Source organism: Homo sapiens, chromosome 20, assembly GCF_000001405.40.
Source record: "Homo sapiens chromosome 20, GRCh38.p14 Primary Assembly".
In the NCBI taxonomy this organism is placed as follows: Eukaryota; Metazoa; Chordata; class Mammalia; order Primates; family Hominidae; genus Homo; species Homo sapiens.
This window is the reverse complement of record NC_000020.11, coordinates 47,063,991-47,081,899: the sequence shown is the minus strand read 5'-3', so window position 1 is coordinate 47,081,899 and position 17,909 is coordinate 47,063,991. Positions and strand designations below refer to the sequence as shown.

The 17,909-nt window shown below is 42.0% G+C and overlaps 1 protein-coding gene across 5 annotated transcripts in view; it reads right to left on the bottom strand.

The window, feature by feature from the left end:
- The window catches only part of EYA2 (EYA transcriptional coactivator and phosphatase 2), a 294,002-nt gene that overhangs the window by 106,945 nt on the left and 169,148 nt on the right, over positions 1-17,909 (bottom strand). For 4 of the 5 annotated variants that reach the window (NM_005244.5, NM_172110.4, XM_017027721.3 and 1 more), the window contains exons 6-7: positions 9,648-9,715; positions 7,565-7,742 (exon numbers count right to left, since the gene is read on the bottom strand). The exons of the other annotated variant lie outside the window; for it this stretch is intronic. In NM_005244.5, coding sequence (NP_005235.3) covers positions 7,565-7,742; positions 9,648-9,715 — 246 coding nt within the window. The remainder of the gene's footprint in view (positions 1-7,564; positions 7,743-9,647; positions 9,716-17,909) is intronic. 5 annotated transcript variants of the gene reach the window in all.

Sequence of the window (17,909 nt, the reverse complement as noted above, 5' to 3'; positions counted from 1 at the left end):
CCATCGCACTCCAGCCTGGGCGACAGATCGAGACTCTGTCTCAAAATAATAATAATAGGCAATGCACATTTTTTCTTTCTCTCTCTCTCTCTTTTTTTCTTTCTTCTTTTTTTTTTTTTTTGAGACAAGGTCTCGCTTTGTCACCCAGGCTGGAGTGCAGTGGTAAAATCTTGGCTCGCTGCAACCTCTGCCTCCCAGGTTCAAGTGATTCTCCTGCCTCAGCCTCCTGAGTAGCTGGGATCACAGGCGTGTGGCACCACGCCTGGCTAATTTTTGTATTTTTAGTAGAGACGGGGTTTCGCCATGTTGGCCAGGCTGGTCTTGAACTCCTGACCTCAGGTGCTCCACGTGCCTGTGCCTCCCAAAATGCTGGGATTACAGGCATGAGCCACCATGCCCGGCCTTTTTATTTCAATTTTCACAGCAACCCTGTAGATGATGATGATGATTTGTTAACTGGACAAATAAAAATTGTGTATATTTATGATGTACAACATATTTTGATATATGTATATATTGGGGATGGCTAAATCAAGCTAATTAACATTCACATATTTTTTATTTTTTTTTTACTAAAAACACTTAAAATCTACTCTCTCAGCAAGTTTCAAGTATATAACACTGATAGGGTTTGGCTCTGTGTCCCCATCAAATCTCATCTTGAATTGTAACTCCCACAATTCCCACATGTCATGAGAGGAACCCAGTGGGAGGTGACTGAATTATGATAAAGACATACCTGAGACTGAACAATTTACAAAGGAAAGAGCATTAATGGAGAACTCAGTTCCATGTGGCTGGGGAAGCCTCACAATCATGGCCGAAGACAAGGAGGAGCAAGTCCCCATCTCTACAAAAAATTTAAAAATTAGCTGCGCATGGTGGCACACACCTGTAGTCCCAACTACTTGAGAGGCTGAGGGAGGATTGCTTGAGCCCAGGAGTTCGAGGTTACGGAGAACTATGATCGTACCACTGCACTTCAGCCTGGGTGACAGAGTAAGACCTTGTCTCTTTAAGAAGGAGGGTCTTTCCTGCACTGTTCTTGTGATAGTGAACGAGTCTCGCAAGATCTGATGGTTTTAAGAAAGTGGCAGTTCGCCTGCACGAGTTCTCTCTTTGCCTGCTGCCATCCACGTAAGATGTGACTTGCTTCTCCTTTTTTTCAGCCATGATTGTGAGGCTTCCCCAGCCACATGGAACTGAGTTCTCCATTAAACCTCTTTCCTTTGTAAACTGCTCAGTTTCAGGTGTGTCTTTATCAGTAGCATGAAGATAGACTAATACAAATACCTTATTTATTAACTATAGTCACCATATTGTACAATAGTTCTTCTGAACTTATTCCTATTAACTGAAATTTTGTATCCTTTGACCAATCTTCCCTCCCCTCCACTCCCCTTTACTCCCTCCCTCCCTCATTTCCCTCCCTCCCTCCCTCATTTCCCTCCCTCCCCCCTCCCTCATTTCCCTCCCTCCCTTCCTTCACCTGATACCTGTGGTAATTGTGTCTTCTTTTCTAATTCAGGTATTTCGTGCTGTAAGTTTCCCTTTAAGTACTGCTTTAATGACATTCCATAAATTTTGATATATTTGTTTTCATTTTCATTCAGTTCCAAGTGCTTTTTAATTTCCCATTGATTTCTTCTTTGACCCATGGGTCACTGAAATGTATATTATTGAGATTCTGAAGATTTGGGAACTTCCCAAAAATCTTTCTGAAATTTATTTCTAATTTAATTCCACTGCTGTCAGAGAACATGCTTTGTATGCCTTGATTCTTTTAAAGGTACTGAAACTTGTTTTATGGCCCAGAAGATATTAATATTTATCTTGGTAAATGTCCCATGTGCACTTGAAAAGAATGTGTATTTGCTGCTGTTGGGTGGAGTGTTCTACAGATTGCCTGTTACATACAGTCTTTTCCTTTCACTCCAGATCTTGTTTTCCTCTCCAGAGAAAATGACTATTAACAGTTCTTATTGCATCCTTCTAGAAATTCCTTATGGAATATGAGTAAATATGGGTATTAAGCTACACTTAAACTTTTAAAAAACTCAGGCTCACATTACCCATGTAATTCTGCCTCCTGCTTTTTTTTTTTAACCTATCACAATAGCTCAAAGAGAAACCCATAGTAGCACAAATATATCTAACTTATTCTTTTTAACAGCTGTATAGTATGCTACTGGTGGATGCACCATGATTGATTTAACCTGTTTCCTGTTAATGGCATGGTATCCAGGTTGTTTCCAGCCTTTTGCTATGATGCTGCTGCAATAAATATTCTTTTTTAAAAAAATAAATATTCTTGATGTGACTGACTTAAGGACTTCGAGATGGGGAGATGATCCTGGATTCTCTGAGTGGGCCCAGTGGAATCACAACAGTCCTTATAAGGGGTCGGGGGCAGGAGTTAGAGAAGGAGATGAGACAATGTAAGTAGAAACTGGAATGATGCAGGGTCATGAGCCAAGGAAGGCAGGTGGCCTCTGCAGGTAGAAGGGCAAGGAAGTGATTCTCCTCTGGAGCCTCCAATACTATAACCCTGCTGACCCCTCAATTTTAGTTCAGTGAGAGCCATGTTGCATTTCTTACCTCCAGAACTGTAAAATATCACTGTGTTGTTTTAAGACACAAAGGTCATAATAATTTGTTACAGCAGCAAGAAGAAACTGATACAGTCTCCAAACATTTCTGATTGTACCATACTCATCAGCAAAAAATTTTCTACTGCACAGATCCATCATATATATTGTAGAGCAAACATAAACAGAAATTGAAAAGGATAAAGGGGATACAAGAAGTTTCAAAATGCATTTTTGTATGTATTTATGTACTAACAGTACAAAACCCTTGTGGTTATCACTAAAATTATTTGCATAATAGTATTAATAAATTTTTAATCAGTGAAAAAAATAAGTATTCTTTTTACTTAAGTGTTTGTACCTAGGTCAAAGTTTATCTTTCGGATAAATTCTTAGATGTCGAATAGTTGAGTTAAAAGGTCTATGCATTTTAAATTTTGTTAGATGTTGCCAAATTACACGGAAGAGCCTTCCCAATTTCTTCTTGAGAGATTAAAAAAATTCTTCTTCTCTTGGCAAAGGAAGTTGATCTTAGAAGTTAAAAAATCCTTCAACTTCTTTTTAGATAATTTGTATCATATTTAAAAATGTAAAAAGAAAAAAATCCTTAAGTAACCAATGATTTGGTTTTTCTCTTAAGTAACATGAGATGTTCAGATTCTGCCCTCTATATCAGCAAATTGCCCTGTAATCATCTGCAAATTGTTGGCACTTCACACACACATTAATGCATGTCAATGCAGAGTGTCCTGTGGCGAGGATGGGGTGCATGGGGGATGTGAGTGGTGAGAGCACCAAAATACTATATCCAGGCAGTGCACACAGTGAGTGTGATCTGTCTGTCAGTAAACCTCTAGAGCCTCTGGAGTTTGGAACCAACCACTCAAGGATATCCTGGATAATTTCAAAAGTAGAGTTTTTATGGGAAATTTAAAAAGAGTGCATGAATGTGTGTGTGTGTGTGTGTGTGTGTGTGTGTGCGCGCGCGCGCGCACGTGCACATGTGCACACACATATGCTTAAATTCCTTTACAGTGAACACTAGGAAAAAGAGGCAGGAGACCTCAGCTACAGCTGACCATTATTTACGTCATTAGATTTTATGTCAGCTTGTTAGACACACAGTAAAAACCATCTCAACCACTTACTGTTGAACCTTTGATCAAGGGATAAAGGAAGAACAGAGGGAAACAAGACAGAAAAATTTCAAAGACACAATGAGCCTTTATATTCACTCCTGATGGGAATGAAGAGAACCTTCCCACAAAACTCAAATTCTGGGGAGGTAAGTTTTTCGTTTGCCATTCAGTTCACCATTGAATTATAGACGGATAGTGGCATCTACTCGATGGTTTCCTGCTTATAGTTCCTCTCTGCCCTAATTTCTCATCAATGTTTTGTTTTTATCTCCTTTGTTGAAATGAGATCGGAAGAACCACATTCTGAAAATCAGGATGGCTAAAGATAATTCAAGATGATGACAGAGAAAAACTTTGTTAAACTTCAAACTCTTCAAAGAAAGTTATTAAATAGGTACTATGCATCATTAAATATTCTGGGATGAGATCACAATGACCAAAATCAATGCTCAAGCTCTAAACCTTTTAAAAAGTTGACTTTATTTAACATGCTTTGCCATATTGTCTCCATTTGTCATCAAACCAAGGATAACTCACTCATTCCCAGTGATGGAAAATTTAAGGGCTAAAATCAATAGCCACACCAAGAACCCCAGGAACAAAACAGGTGGGTCTTCCCTATTGTTCCTTTTCTAACAATCAACCAATTAATATTTGTTGATGACTGTCTCCACACCATCGTGCTAGCTTAGCTTCTGCAAAGCCCTACAGCATCAGTAGGTTTCAGAAAAGAAGACAAAGGAACGAAACTCAGTGATATCTACTGACATTCTAACGTATTGCTGCCATGTTATTTAATGTTGATAAGCCAAAACCACCTTGTAAAAGAGAAGATGTGCATAGCAGGTCTGGGGAATGAATGAATGAATCCACAGGCTGGTGCATTAGTTGCATAGGGATGTTACATACTAAGTTCTGTGACCACAGAGGGGTCAGGACATGGACTCTGCCACATGTTGCTCATAGTGTAGGTGGCATCCATATCAAGGTTGTGGACATTTATTGTTTTTGCTCACCCATTGTCTCTTCTGTCTTCTTGTAGTTACAATGCTCTAGGTTTTTTGAGGTGATCACCTCTTCCTCACTCTCAGTCCCTGGTGGTTGAGGTGAGGCTGACCCCAACTCTAGCTCCAGCCGTAGGCATGAGCCCAAAGTCTGCTGCTTCATCCCAGCATTCCATTCCACTGACCACAGAGATTGGTTTGGGGATGAGCATGTGACCTAAGCTGGGCCAATGGGAGCTTTACTTGGGACTTTTGCAGGAATGGCTAAGAAGGAGGAACTATGTTTGCTGGGATGGATTAGCAGACAGGATTGAGCTCTGGGTAGCTGGTGGCCATCTTTGCCACCATAGGGGAGGAGCTTGCCTGAGAACGGAACGAACCCAGGAAAATTCAGAGCCAGAAGGAAGAGAGAAACTAAGTCTCAACATTGTCATTGGAACACCTGGACCTAGCTCTAAACCCCTGTACATCTAGGTTAGATATGCCTAAAAGTTCATTTGCTTTTTCTTAAACTAGTTTGAATTGGATTTTCTATGTCTTTTGAAGCCAAAAAATCTTGGCTAATCAAAAGGGTTTCCTAAAACTATTGTGCCATCAGAAACAAACATCCTTAAAGATAACCCGATTAAAAAATGGGCAAAGGACATGAACAGACACTTCTCAAAAGAAGACATACATGCAGCCAACAAGCATATGAAAAAATAATATCACTGGTCATTAGGGAAATGCAAATCAAAACCACAATGATATACCATCTCACACCAATCAGAATGGCCATTATTAAAAAGTCAAAAAATAACAGATGCTGGCAAGGTTACAGAGAAAAGGGAATGCTTATACATTGTTCATGGGAATGTAAATTAGTTCAGCCACTGTGGAAAGCGGCCTGAAGATTTCTCAAGGAACTTAAAATGAAACTACCATTTGGATATATACCAGCAATCCCATTACTGGGTATATATCCAAAGGAATATAAATTTTTCTACCATAAAGACACATGCATGTGTATGTTCATTGCAGCACTATTCACAATAGCAAAGACAAAGAATCAACCTAGATGCCCATCAATGGCAAACTGGATAAAGAAAATGTGGTATATATACACCATGGAATACTACGCAGCCATAAAAAATAAGATCATGTCCTTTGAACCAACATGGATAGGGCTAGAGGCCATTATCCTAAGTGAATTAACACAGGAACAGAAAACCAAATACCACATGTTCTTACTTATAAGTGGGAGCTAAACATTGAGTACACATGGATACAAAGAAGGGAACAATAGACCCAAGGACCTACTTGAGGGTAGAGGATGGAAGGAAGGTGAGGACTGGAAAACTACCTAGTGGGTATTGTGCTGATTATCTGGGTGACAAAATTATCTGTACACTAAACCTCCACGACATGCAATTTACCCATGTAACAAACCTGCATGTGTACCCCAAACCTAAAATACAAGTTGAAAGAAAAAAAAAATGAACATGCTTAAGGATGTTTTGAAGGATTGTATAATTCTTGAGGACCCTGAGTCGCTATACTTGAACCCCTCTTAGACAAAGAATCAACATTTGAAAGCCTCTGCCCTTCTGTTCTCAAACGGATTTTAGATAACATATTCCTGGCCGTACACAGCCAGGCTGTGTACACAGTTCCTGGCTGTGTATGGCCAGTGCATAGCAGGAGTGCTGGTTATGGGGGCCAACAAACTGGGATTGGGATCCTAGCCCCACCAATCACTAGCAAGCTCCTTATCACTCTCATCTTCATTGTTCTTATCTAGAAAAAGGGTGGGGATAATATAAACCTGTTTTTGTGAGGATTATGCCTCTCCTTATCACAGTTTGTAATGAGATATTTGTATGATTATTTGATTCCTGTCTGCAAAGCTTAACTCTACACTGCACTTTATTTCCCAAACTAAAGGGAGGGCCTGGAATGCAGTGGGAGCTTACCAAATATTTGTTGAATAAATATATAAGTAAATGATTAGAGAAGACCACACAGGTATGTGCTCAGCACGAAACAGATGGGTATTTTATTTATTTATTTAATTTTTTGAGATGGAGTTTCACTCTTGTTGCCCAGGCTGGAGCGCAATGGCGCGATCTCGGCTCACTGCAACCTCCGCCTCCCAGGTTCAAGCGATTCTCCTACCTCAGCCGCCCTAGTAGCTGGGATTACAGGTGCCTGCCATGACTCAGGCTAATTTCTGTATTTTTAGTAGAGATGGGGTTTCATCATGTTGGCCAGGCTGGTCTCGAACTCCTGACCTCAGGTGATCCACCCGCCTCAGCCTCCAAAAGTGCTGGGATTACAGGTGTGAGCCACCGTGCCCAGCTGGTAATATTATAAATACTACCAGGGTTCATCAACTCCAAGGCCTACATGGGCCAGGCAGTAATGAACATGGGGTAAGCTAGCTAGATGTGGAATTGGGTGTGTCCTTTCTAAAAAGAGCAGACACACTTAGTTTTAACCAAGTGGTGTTCCTTGGGAATGTGGCTACTATGGCCAGATCTTCTTTCAAAAGAAGCCAGAAAATAGAATTTTTAGGTATTTATAAAATTTTCTGACTTTTAAACGTAAATGCAATTAAACACATGCACAAACAGGCCAACAAAACATGTCTGAGAGATGGATTTAGCCCTTGGGAGCCTGTTTGTGACAACTGGGACCCATATCCAGGTCCCTCCTTCAGAGAAGCTCTCAGGCCACATCCATGAATGACCCTTGGGTAACCTGTTTGTTACAATTGGGACCCATGTGCGGGTCCCTCCTTCATAGAAGCTCTCAGACCACAGCCATGAATGGCCCCACCAGTGACTGCACCTACCAGCAAGTGACTCGGAACTCTGGTTGGGGACGTTGTGAGATGCCTCCTGGAGGACGTAGGTGGACGTGGAGAGGGGCGAAGGGCAGATGCTGCTGGCCGGGACGTAGGGAGGGTTGTAGGATGAGCCGTAATACTGGGGGTACTGGCTCTGGGGGAAGCCGGGGTAGGAAGGATAGTCCTGGGAAGAGAAAAACAAACCAAGGACATATGTGAGGAAGCCTTTCTGGGCTCGGGCCGTTGGTCAGCCTGGCCACTCTGTCTCACCATTAGAATAAAAGCTCTCTGTGGGCAGAAACTGTCTTCATTTTGGTTTCCCAGAAGCAGACCCCGGGGCAAGGATTCAAGTGCAAGGAGGCTGTTTGGAAGGTGAAGGAGACACCAGCAGGGGATCGGGGAAGTGAGAGAGATGCGGGAGAGCAGCCTGCATAGGTGCTTCTGTGGTAGTGACCAGAGATGAGCCCTATGAGGAAAAGCTGAGATGGTCTAAAATCCACATCTCAGAACTGCCTCTCCCACGGGTCAAGGGAGTGGAGGGGTTTATACATCAACTTGTTGGTCTTTGAGAGCTGCACCCAGGGGGCTTTAATTCCCAGGCACTTCCTGCCTGCCCCGTGCACTGGTTCTAGAAAAGCCCCTTGGGCCCAGGCATGCAGATGCTGGCACCTGGAGGTCCACAGGCCACCCTAAGGGATATAGACGTGGCCCTGATGGCACCTGTCCTGGTCACTATTGTATCCTCTGCACCTGAAACAGTGCCTGGTATATGCAGTAACTCAACAAATACTGGTTAAATTAATAAACAAATGCATTAACAATTAAGACCACACTGCACCCCCCCCCCACGACACACACACAAACCTAGAAGACCGCACACACACCCACACGACACACAAACCCAGGAGACTAGGTGACATTTTATGTTCATGGGGAGGAGGTGCAAATACAGCAGCACCTACACAGCATTAGGGGTCCAGAATATTCTATGAGGGAGTCATGGAGATCAATTCAATAGCTGCCAATCACCTTTGATCAAGCTTTGTTTAAGCAGACCAGCGATCCCAATTCTCCAACAGTCATTGTTTCAAATATCCTGCCGCACTATCACCAAACCAGTGCTTCTCAACCCTGCACGGAACTCATGGAACGTTCTGCTTCCTGGGCCCCACCCCAGAGCTGGGAGTCAGAGTTCCTGGGGGTGGGGGTTGCGGGGGTGGTCAGTGTTTTTGAAAAACACAGATTTAATGGTGAAATGGAGGGTTAAGAACCACATCTTAAAAAGTACTGTTTTATTTATAAGTATTTTATCTATGTACATAGTACATTAGAAATAATGCAAAAATACATGAAACAATTTTTACATTTGCTAAGTTTTAAATTATTTAGATTCTCACTGGAAAAGAAATTGCGTATTCCTCAGATCTAAATATGTTAAATATTCCTAAAGCCCATCTACCCCAGGGTGGTTCTGTTTTAAATGGTAGCCTGAAAGCAGGTGAACCTTTTGTTTTGAAATAATTTTAGGTGTACAGGGAAGGTGTACACACAGCAGAGTTACTGCACACTTTGAGCAGATGCGAACTCTTAATTCACTTTGTAAGTGACACCAAGAGAATCAAAGTACTAGCCAACATTTACCTATATAGAGTTGACTTTGCTCTATTTAACAAGTATTTATAAAGCCCCCACTGTGTGCTGGGCTCTCACCACTGGGGATGCAGAGGTGAGCAAGATATACGGTCCCCCTTGAGAAGCCCATGGTCTGGTGAAAGAACCCACCCATTTGTATTGATATATATCAGATTCAACAGTCAATGGGTGTCCTGAGTCCAGGTCAAGATGGAACATACTTGTAGATCTCCATGACATCTCAGGAATCTTCTAACAATTCCTACGTCTCCGCCTGTATACTGTGTCCTTCCAGCAGCCTTTTGCACAATCTAGCCCCTGTAGTCTCCAAACCCAGGGACTAAGAGGCAGGTTCCCAATGGGGATTGTGTGTGTCGTGGGCTCTCTGGGTGCCCTGATGTAAGGGGAATATTTCCAGAAAGAACTGAGGAAAGAATCGGGAGGGAGCCATGTCTACCTGGTGCACACTCCCGAAACCGGCTGCGTTGCCCAGTCCATTTCCTCCTTGATAGAACCCTGTTGTGCCTGTGGGAAGGAGGAACAGGGGTACAGGTTAGGGTTCTTGTCTTTTTTTCTCTTTAAAGCAGTTGTTAGCATTTCATGAACCTCCCTCCATGTGGCTTCAAGGGTGACAGCTGGGCAGAAGCTCTGGTTCCTAGTGGTAATGCCTCACACCAGCGTTCCCAAAGCAACCCAGGTGAGACTTGTTGACACTAATCCTCTGGTGACGCCTACCACCAGCATCACCACGGCCTCCTGGGTGCTTCCAAGTGCTTGCTGATGCGGCCGTGGCTATGGCTCACGTGACCCCTAAGTCTCTGGATCTTCCTCTGTCCGGATGGCATGTTGGCGGCCCAGACCCAAGAGCCAGGTTAGGTTTCTTACAGTCGGAGAGGAACATGCAGGAGGAGGGTACCATGGCCAGGTGGGGTCTTTGAGGTCTGACAGGCTGGGATGGAACCTGTGACTTTGGTTACCAAATTTCTCTGAACCTCAATTTCCTGGATAGATGAAGAAAATAAACGGTGTCCTTTTCAAAGGGCTATGGTGAGAAATAAGTGAGATAGTGCCCACTACCCAGATCCTGGTCCTTAATAATTATGTTTTTAAAAAATTTGAGGCCAGGTGTGGTGGCCTCAGATTTTTCTGTAATTCCAATGCTTTGGGAGGCTGAGGTGGGAGGATCACTTGAGCCCCGGAGTTTGGTCATTTAAGTGTTTCACTTTTTAAAGAAATGGCCAAACTGTTTTCCAAAGTGGCTGTGCCATTTGCATTCTTACTAGGAATTCACGAGAGTTCTAGATTCTCCAGCACTTGGTAGTTTCAGTCTTCTTGATTATGGCCACTCTAGTAGTCTGGTCAACATAGTGAGATGTTGTCTCTACAAAAAAATTAAAACATTGGCTGGGCACAGTGGCTCACACCTGTAATCCCAGCACTTTGGGAGGCTGAGACGGGAGGATCAGGAGGTCAGGAGCTCGAGACCAACCTGGCCAACATGGTGAAATTCTGTCTCTACTAAAAATACAAAAATTAGCCAGGCGTGGTGGTGTGTGCCTGTAATCCCAGCTACTAGGGAGGCTGAGGCAGGAGAACTGCTTGAACTCGGGAGGCGGAGGTAGCAGCGAGCCAAGACTGTGCCACTGCACTCCAGCTCTGGGTGACAGAGCAAGACTCCATCTTGGAAAAAAAAAAATTCCAGGTGTGGTGGCGCATGCCTATAGTTCCAGCTACTTGGGAGGCTGAGGCGGGGGGATTGCTTGAACCTAGGAGTTTGAGGCTGCAGTAAACTACAATCTCACCACTGCACTCCAGCCTGCGCAACACGGCAAGACCCTGTCTCTAGAAAACAGTAAATAAAATAAAAAATAAAAATTATTTATTTAAAAAATTGTGGTATATATACAACATAAAATTTACCCTCTTAACCATTTTAAAGTGTACAGTTCAGTGGCATTAACTACATCCACATTATTGGGTACTCATCACCATCATTCATCTTTAGAACATTTTTCTTCTTGTAAAATTGGAACTATGTACCCATTAAACAACAATGCACAATGGCATAGATGTACAACATCCAATATTGGGCTATTATGGATAATGCAATATAAGCATTCACATACAAGTCTTTGTATGGATATATATTTTCATTTCTCTTGGGTAAATCCCTAAGAGTAGAATTACAGAGTTGTGTGGTAAGCATATGTTTACCTTTTAAAAGAAATGGCCAAACTGTTTTCCTAAGTGGCTGTGCCATTTTACATTCTGACTGGTAATGCACGAGAGTTCTCGATTCTCCAGCACTTGGTCATTTCAGTCTTCTTGATTACAGCCACTCTACGAAGTATGTGGTTGTATCTCACTGTGGTTTTAAGTAGCATTTCTCCAATGACTAATGGTGTTGGGCATTTTTCATGTGCTTTTTAGCCATTCACATATCTTCTTTGATGAAATATCTACTCAAATCTTTTTCCCATCAAACCCTAGTCAAATCTTTTTAAAAAATTAGGTTTGGCCTCTTATTACTGTTATAAGAGTTCTTTATATATCTTGGACACAAGTCCTTGATCAGATACATGATTTGTGAATATTATCTCCCAGTTTGTGGCTTGTCTTTTTCTTAATGGTGTCTTTTGAAGAGCAAAAGATTGTAGGTTGTTGATTTTTTTCTTTGATGCATTTTGCTTTTGTTGCCTAATTCAAGGTCACAAAGAACTGCTCTTGTGTTTTCTTCTAGAAATTTCACAGTATTCTTGTATTTAGGTCTATGATCCAATTTAAGTTAATCTTTGTATACAGTGTGGATTAAGGACTTAAATTCATCTTTTCATATATATATATGTGCATATATATGTATGTATATGTGTGTATATATACATATACACACACACAGTTGTTCCAGGACCACTATAAAAAGTCTATCCTTTCTCCCACTGATTTTATTATTTTTTAAAATTTTTGTGGGTACACAGTAGGTGTATATATTTATGGGGTACATGAGATGTTTTGATATAAGTATGAAATATGATATAAACACATCATGGAGAAGGGGTATCCATTTCTTCCCCCACTGAATTACTTGGTACATTTGCCAAAGATAAACTGACCATAAATGAGAAGGTTTATTTCTGGACTTTATTCTGTTTCACTGATTTATCTATCCTATACCAATTCCATCCTATCCTTATTACTGAAGCTTTATGGTGATTTTTTTTAAAAAACAGAATCTCGCTCTTCTCACCCAGGCTGGAGTGCAGAGGCGCAATCTAGGCTCACTGCAATCTCCGCCTCTCAGGTTCAAGTGATTCTCCTGCCTCAGCCTCCCAAGGGATTACAGGTGCCCACCACTATGCCCAGTTAATTTTTTGTATTTTTAGTAGAGATGGGGTTTTACTATGTTGGCCAGGCTGGTCTTGAACTCCTGACCTCAGGTGATCCACCTGCCTCAGCTTCCCAAAGTGTTGGGATTACAGACGTGAGCCACTGAGCCCGGCCTATGGTGAGTTTTGAAACCAGGTAGTATAAGTTCTCCAACTTTGTTCTTTTTCAAGTTTGTTTTGGCTTTTAGTTACTTTGCATGTCAGTTTCTACTAAACACCATCTGGGATTTTGGTAGGAATTGGACTGAATCAACAGACTTCTTTTATAAGATGAGGCCAGATTAAGAAAGTTAGGGCTGGATGCTTCAGGACCCGGAAGCCTGGAGCATGGTTTGCATCTGCTGAAGGGGCATGGACTGCTGTCAGAGGTTTTAAAGCAGCAACCGCACAACTGCAGGCACATCTCTAAACATTCACACTAGTTGCTGGTTAGAAAACAAATGGCTACTCAAATGAGCGGTGACTTACATCAAACAAGAAGCTTCTAGAGCCCACACTACTTTTTATAAAGTGGCTAAAATGAACACAATGGACTCCAGGAAACTTACTTCCTGGGGTGAGGTAGGAGAAGATAAGAGGATAATAAAGGAACCACAACACCTCTAAAATTATCCAAGATGATGGATCCATCAGAACCATAGGATCTCAACCCTTGTTCTGCATCAGAATCTCCCAAAGAACTTGAAACAAAAAACAAAACAGAACAAAAAAGCAGTCTGAGGGCCCTTCCCACAGAGAGTCTGATTTGAGTTAGTCTAGAGTTGGGCCAGGCATCAGTATATGAAAACAACAACAACAACAACAAACCTTTCTGGGAGATCCTAGTACACACTGAGAATTGAGAACCAATAGTCCATGCCAAATTCTTTATGGTCCAAATGGGGAGACTGAGGCACAAAGAGGGAAGGCAAACAGTGCTGATCCTGTGCTTTGGTCTTGGCAGCAGAGAAGGCCTTAAGCCTGTCTCATGCTTCCCAGCTCAGGGCCTTTCCATGGCAGCACATGGCTTCTCTACACAAAGATACTGAGGCCATTAATTAGTTCATTAATTCATGCATGCATTCATTTATTCATTCCACTGAGATTATTGAGTGCTTTATGCACCAAGCACTGTATTAGGCACTTTGTATATAACTGCACTTAATCCTCACATCGATCCTGAGAGGAAGGTATATAATTGCCATTCCCATGTTCCATACAGAGAAACTGAGGCTTAGGAATGGAGTTTTTCCCAAGTCATAAAGCTAGTAGGCTGTGAAGCTAAGATTAATTCTTTTATTCATTCATTTATTAATCAAACAAAATGTGCCAGAATAAGGGAAAAAGAATAGGAATGACAGCAGATTTCTCATCAGGAACCATGGAGGCCGGAAGGAAATGGCACAACATTTTTCAAGGGCTTAAGGAAAAGAAACATCAACTCAGAATGCTATATCCAGAGACAATATCCTTCAGGAATGAAGGGAAAACTAAGACATCCTCGAATGAAGGAAAACCAAAAGAATTTGTTACAGCAGCTCTACCCAGAAAGAATGGGTACAGGAAATTCTTCTCATAGAAAGAAAAGGATAAAAAAGCTGGAAACATCAGGAAGGAAGAAAGAAAAAGGAAAAGAATAAAAATATGTGTAAATAAAGTCATTTAAGATAGTTCCTCTCTATGTGGTTGTGCCAACAGCTCAATATACAATTTGGTTCGTTACATTAAATTTTTTTTTAATTTAAAAATTTTTAATTTTTGTGGGTACATATTAGGTGTATATATTTATGGGTGACATGAGCTATTTTGATAGAGACATGCAATGTGTAATGATCAAATCAGGGTAAATGGGGTATCCATCACCTCAAGCATTTATCCTTTGTGTTATAAACAATCCAATTATACTCTTCCAGTTATTTGAGAATGTACATTTAAATTTTTGTTGACTATAGTCAACAAAATCCCACTCTATCCTCAATGTCCTGCCCAGACACATTTAGCAGAAGGTCTAGGTCAGTCTATTCCATTCGAGGTCATCTGTTTGGTTCTGGTTACCATGGTGACCCTACTTGCAAAAGCTTAGGAAGCCACCTGTCTCAGAAGACTCCTGACTGCAGTGTTTTCTCTTCTGATTTCTCTTTTCTTTTGCATGAACCTTCTGAATGATGACTCAGGGCAGGTTTGGAAATAAACAGGCTATCGTCTTGTCCCTTGGTATGCTTTCTCCAAAATAGTCTCTTGTTTATTTTCATTTTGTGACCCAGGGTCAGCTGAAGAATGGACAGCTGAACAAACTACAGCGTGAGGGCAGCCACAGAGTGCCTGCAGTGAGAAATCCATCCTGTGCCAGAGAGGACCCAGGAAGAAGGGGGCACGTGGCCCCTGAAGTCTTGTGCCACAAGTTGTGGTCTCTGGAGGGTTTTGACAAACAGACCCAGCTTGGTGCTGGAATGTGAAACACTGACCTCTTTCTTCCTTCTGGCTGATACAATGCCCAGTGAGGGAAGGCAAAGATGAGATGAAAAAAACATCCTCTTAAGGTGATGGTGGCAGGTCTCCTGGAGGGTCCCCTAATATTGATTCACCCCTTCTCTCTCATATTAATAGAATCTGTTTCTAAGCTGAGCACATGGCTGATTAGAATAAAAACTACAATTCCCAGATTCCCTATGGCTAAATGTGGCCACATGATGAGTTCTAGGCAAAGGGATAGGAGTAAATTTTGAAGGGCAGTGGCAGCTTCTCTTTCTCCATGGAATGGGGCCATCTTGGATATGCAGCTGAGCAACAGGACATGAGGAGCTTGGACCCCCATCACGTTTGCAGACTAGAATGGCCACATTAGTTAGGACTTTTAGGTGAGAGAGAAATACCCTTCTTTCTTGTTGAAGACATTGCTATTTTGAGTCTCTGTCAAAGGCAGAGAACTGCTACCATTTTTGGTTGATTGGTTTTCTTGGGTTTTAAGTAAAAGTAGCCTCCAGTGCCTGACTCAGTAAAATAATTTTTTTTTTTTGAGACAAGGTCTCACTCTGTTGCCCAGGCTGGAGTGCAGTGGCATGATCACAGCTCACTGCAGTCTTGACCTCCCAGACTCTGGTGACCCTCCTACCTTAGCCTCCTGAGTAGCTGAGACTACAGGAGCATGCCACCACATCTGGCTAATTTTTTGTAGAGATGGAGTTTTGCCATGTTGCCAAAGCTGGTGTTGAACTCCTGGGCTCAAGCAATCTGCCCACCTTGGCCTCCCTAAATGCTCAGATTACAGGTGTAAGTCACCATGCCCAGCCAGCAAAACAATTTTTAAGTGGATATTCATTCAATCATTAATTTGTTCATTCATTCCCTCAGGCATTCAACAATTCATTTCCTAGTGATGTACCAAATATCACCGTGTGGCAGACACTGTTTTAGATATGGTGTTGACACTGACATTCAGGTAAGAGAGACAGACAACAATCAAATGAACAGATACATAAGGAAGTGAGATAATTCCAGACAGACAAAGACGCAGTGATGCTTCTGCACAGCACTACTGAGGTGTGAACTGCAGATTGGTGCCTGCTCACAAACCGTTTATTACCAGTCTATGATGAGATAAATAGAGAAATTGAAAGCCACTGTGTTTATTACCAGTCTGAGATAAATAGAGAAATTTAAACCTCCAGAGCAATTTAATACAGTACTTTATGCCTGTTAAATCTAATAAAAAAATCACGCTTTTAATTTATTAAAAATTATAAAATAAAAATTAAACAAATTTAAATTGCTTTAAACTTCATTGTTTCTCAACCTTTTTTTCATTATTGCCACCCTTCGCCAGGGTTCTTTTATAATTTTTTTTTCTCCCCTAATTGCCCCACCTCCCATGAAATTTTACTATTATAGTTAGACTGTATATCTGTTTTGGGACTGTATGTGTATGTGTTTTTGCTCCACTCCCAGGGACCACTTTTTCCCCTCTTGGGATGATATTTCCCCTACTGAGAATACATATTCTGGTGATTCATTTTTATTTTACGCTAAATGGGGGAAGAAGCCCTTGTCCTTCATGACAGTGAGAATGAGAAGCACTGGGTAATATGGTGCCTGGAGGTGGCCTTGGTACCTGATATAGTTTGGCTGTGTCCCCACCCAAATCTCATCTTGAATTGTAGCTCCCATAATTCCCACGTGTCATGGGAGGGACCTGGTGGGAGGTAATTGAATCATGGGGGCAGATCTTTCCCATGCTGTTCTGGTGATAGTGAATAAGTCTCATGAGATCTGATGGTTTTATAAAGGGGAGTTCCCCTGCACATGTTCTCTTGCCTGCCACCATGTAAGACGTGACTTTGCTCCTCCTTTGCCTTCCACCATGATTGTGAGGCCTCCGCAGCCATGTGGAACTGTGAGTCAATTAAACCTCCTTCCTTTATAAATGACCCAGCCTCAGGTATGTTTTACTAGCAGCATGAGAACAGACTAATACAGTGCCCCAGTGAACAGCATCTCTCATGTTGGACACTGTGCTGGGGATGCTATGTACAGTGACTTATGTGACGCTGCTGTCTACTCTCTAAGGTGGGCATTGTCCTTCAGTTTACAGAAACTCAGAGTGGGAAAGGTCCCATGACCCAACACGAGTGTCTGGGCTGAAAACTGCTGCTCCTTCACACTCGCTAGGTTGGCCATAATAAAGATAGAAAAAGAAAAAGAAAAAATGTGTTGGTGAGGATGTGGAGGAATGGAACACTCACACACGCTGGTGGAATGTAAAACGGTGCATAAAAAGCTGTGGAAAACACTGGATGATTCCTCAAAAAGGTACATACAAAACTACCATATGACTCAGCAATTGTACTTCTGGGTTTATACCCAAAATAATTGAAAACAAGTATTTAAGCAAAAACTTGTATGCAAAAGTTCACAGGAGCACTACTCACAGTGGCTGAAAGGTGGAAATGATCCAAGTGTCCACTGACGGCTGAACGGATAAACAAAATGTGGTTCAGCCATACAATGGAATATTATTCCGCCATAAAGAGGAATGAAATTCTGATACATGCTACATACAGCATGGATGACCTTTGAAAACATTATGCCAAATGAGGCTGGGCATGGTGGCTCATACCTATAATCCCAGCACTTTGGGAGGCTGAGGAGGGTGGATCACTTGAGCCCAGGAGTTTGAGATCAGCCTGGGCAACATGTTGAAATCCCATCTTTACTAAAAATACAAAAAATTAACCGGGCATGGTGATGCATGCTTGTAGTCCCAGCTCTTCTGGAGGCTGTGGTAGGAATATCATCTGAGCCTGGGAAGTTGAAGCTGCAGCAAGCCCAGATGGCGCCACTGCACTCCAGCCTGGGCAATG